Raw genomic sequence first — 3,316 nt, forward strand, 5'->3', positions numbered from 1 at the left:
TTTCAAGACTTTGGTCTTCATTTGTGCATCTGCAGGGAGCAGGGAGCATGGAGGGAACAGCAAGGGCTGGGAGTGGGTACCAAGTCAAATTCCAGCACCACAACAGGGAGCCTCGTCTTCAGCCAGTTCATTCAACTCAGGGGGCTTCAGCGTCCTCACTGGTCCAGTACAGGCAACATTCCCCCTGGCCTGCTGTGGGGTAACAGGAAAAAACATGGGGTGCCGCCAATGACATTGGGAGATGTATCTGGGGGTGAGGTTCTGGAGAGCTTCAAGCCCTGGGGGATTTGGGTCTTGAAGGCACACTGTGGACCTGGAGCAGCACTAGCCCTGCATGGCACCAGGACCCTGCCCCTCACCATGAACCAGAACCCTCTCCCTGGGAGATGAGTTCTCACCAGCCAGGGCTGCGGGGTTGGGGGCAGAAAGCAGGAGCAGCCCCTAACAGCTCAGTAGACGACAGCTTCTGGGAGCCTTTTTCACCAGGATCTGAGGCCTGTTTACATGGGTCCCCCCTGTGGTCTCTGCTGCTTAATATGCCTTTTGAAAATGATGCTCAGTGGGATGGTGTGTGCACATTTGTAATTCCAAAGAGCCGGCTGGTTTTTCACAATCTGTGCCTGCTAATTTCTCAGTCACAGGAAGGGAAATAGCAAAAAGTCCCCAATACTCCTTGTTGAGTGGATTCCCTAATAGCATTACGTAGTGCTTCCTATTTACAAAGCACTTTTATTTCTCTCAATGAGAAAGGCAGACCTACTGCTATAAGCCCAGGGGGAACCCGGCATCCACAGAGGAGAAATGACTCGTCCAAGGTGGCACAGTGGCAGTGAGAAAGAAGGGCAGGCACAGCTGCACCCCGTTTCTCCTGCCAGCTAAGTGCATGCCCCTTCATAGCAACCTCTGGCATAGACAGAAGGAGAGATGAAGCAAGAAGTTCCCAGAATGAAGGCTGTTTCCCCTAAGAGGTGGGCGTCCTGCCACAAGAAATGGCTCATCGGGAAACACTGAGTGAAAACCCACATTCAGAGCAAGGCTTCCCAGTAACTGAGATCCAGCCTGAGGTTTCCAGGAGCTGAGCCTCAGATGGAATGAGGGCGGGCTCAGAGCTCAGCCAACCCTTTGAAACTGAGCCTGCGGGTGAAGTCAGGTCAATACATTCACAGGCGTTTCAGGCCCTATCGACGTCTGGGGTGGGAAACCCACCCGAAAGCTGTTGAAATACAGGGGCCAGCACTGGTTCTGCAGAACAGTGGCTCTTTGAGTGGAAGGTGTTCGAGAATTAAGTTTCCCCAGTGTTCCCAGGGCTCAGACTTTAAGCCAAGGGGGGCTGGGGCCCCCAGTGCCTGATGGAGCCGCTGATAGGTCCCTGCTGGCTAAAAGTGATGACATTGGCAAGAAACTGATCTTTCTGGGGAGCAGAAACTCAAGAGCACTCAAGTGAAGAACACAAGGCAAGTTGTGTTACCTGCCACAAAGCCCCAGCTTTCAGGACCAGGGGAGGGGTAGATGGGGACCACTTGGTATTGGGTATCAGGAGACCCAGACCAGACCCTGAAGGAGGAAACGGCTGAAGCGAGACCTCTTATCTTGTCTTGCCTCCTCCTTCGGCATATAATCGGAACGTGCTTAGGCCAGAGGCAAGAAAGCATGTAATCCACTACCTCCCTCTGTGTCATAGACAGGAAAATTGAGATCCTGTGGCATCAGGAGCCTTGTTCTTGGGTAACAGAGTGTCAGACATGGGACTAGGAAGCAGGCCTCCAGATTCCCCGTCCACTGCTGGTCTGGACTTGGAAAACAAACAAAACTCAAAGCCTCCAGCCCTTTGTCACCATGCAGCAGGCCACAGCCACAGCACACCTCCATCTGGCCTCCTCCATATATTTTTCGTGAGCCCACAGAGTGCTGTTCCCTGCTGTAAGCTGATGCTTGCACACAAATGTCTGGCCAAAGCAGTTTTTGTTTAAAAGCTAAGTCAGTTTGTACAAAAGCACACCCTGCCTGGCATGGCTCCCTTAGCACATTCCCACTGCTAGTCAATGCCTGGTTGAATTGTGAAGACCAAGGACATGCAATGTAGGTGTCACCTGTGCACTACTGGAGATAACCCCGGGGCGGGGCAGCTGCTGACCTGGGCTCCAGAATCTCAGGTGCAAAATGCAGCTTAGATCCAACAGGGCTGAGATAGACACAAAGAGATGCAACCCTGAAGCATGGTGGTATTTTAACAAACATGCTGTACACTGGATGGCTTATAAATAGCAGAAATGTATTTCTCACAGTCCTGGAGCTAGAAGTCTGAGATCAGCATGCTGCCATCATCAGATTATGGTGAGGGCCCTCTTCCTGGTTGCAGACAACCAACTTCTAGTCGTATCCTCACATGGGGTCCCTTTTATAAGGGCACTGATTTTATTCATGCAGGCTGCACCTTCATGACCAAATTACCGCCCAAAGGCCCTGCCTCCTAATCCCATTACACTGAGTGGTAAGGTTTCAACATATGAATTTTGGAAAGACACCAGCATTCAGTCCATAACAGGTGGTCCACAGGTAGGCTTGAGTGGGCTAAGGGTTGGCAGGAAGCTGCTGGAATTGCAGGGAAGACTTCACCCATATTCATGCCTGGGCATTTGTCTAGGAAGGGTGTCCCTGGCATTTGTCTAGGAAGGGTGCCGTCTCTGCATCCTCCTTAGGTGTCTCACAGTGACCTGGTCCCACATAGCCCAGTCTGAGCTCAAATATCCTCTTCTGACTTCAAAAACGTAAGTGTTAAGAGTTTCTGTCATGCCTAGGTGACCTTGGCTGCTAAAAACTCAGTATCATTGTTTTCTAGGAACTCTGTACTTTCCATAGGATGTCATTCTGTTTTGTGCTACAGCAATGGAGATGAAGAGCTGCAGTGGAAGCGTGAGGGCAGGGGTTACAGAAAAGAGGTATAAATTCTCTTGGCTTTTTTTTTTTTTTTTTAAAAGCTTTTCTTATTGAAGTGCAACCTGAAAAACAAGCCCCCATTGGAGAGTGCCATGACACTTCCTGTGTAACGCACTCAAACGTCCCTTGGCAACTGGGAGCTGGGGAACCTGATAAGGTACAAGCTACAGATATGCCTGGGAGTTTGTAGGAGTAGCAACATTTTGTCCTCACTCCAAGTCTCAGTCAAGAAAGGACTTAGAATTTTAAAATAAAATAATGATTAGATTGGAATCATTGAATACCAGATCTAAGAAAAAACCTCAGTTTTCTCCATATGAAATGAGACTTTAGGACTTGCCCACAGAGGTGATGTGGAAACCCAATCCTTTTGACTCCA

At 49.8% G+C, this 3,316-nt stretch overlaps 2 annotated features.

Annotated features, from left to right (window-relative positions):
• Positions 645-1,146: an enhancer, noted in NCBI's record as "H3K4me1 hESC enhancer chr10:80303319-80303820 (GRCh37/hg19 assembly coordinates)". NCBI's record gives its function as "activates a minimal SCP1, AML or CMV promoter by ChIP-STARR-seq in primed H9 embryonic stem cells {active_cell/tissue: H9 hESC(primed)}" and the evidence as "EXISTENCE:reporter gene assay evidence [ECO:0000049][PMID:30033119]".
• Positions 2,901-3,101: a silencer, noted in NCBI's record as "peak1025 fragment used in MPRA reporter construct". NCBI's record gives its function as "represses an SCP1 promoter by STARR-seq MPRAs in K562 erythroleukemia cells {active_cell/tissue: K562}" and the evidence as "EXISTENCE:reporter gene assay evidence [ECO:0000049][PMID:32103011]".

This window comes from Homo sapiens, chromosome 10, assembly GCF_000001405.40.
Source record: "Homo sapiens chromosome 10, GRCh38.p14 Primary Assembly".
Taxonomy (NCBI): domain Eukaryota; kingdom Metazoa; phylum Chordata; class Mammalia; order Primates; family Hominidae; genus Homo; species Homo sapiens.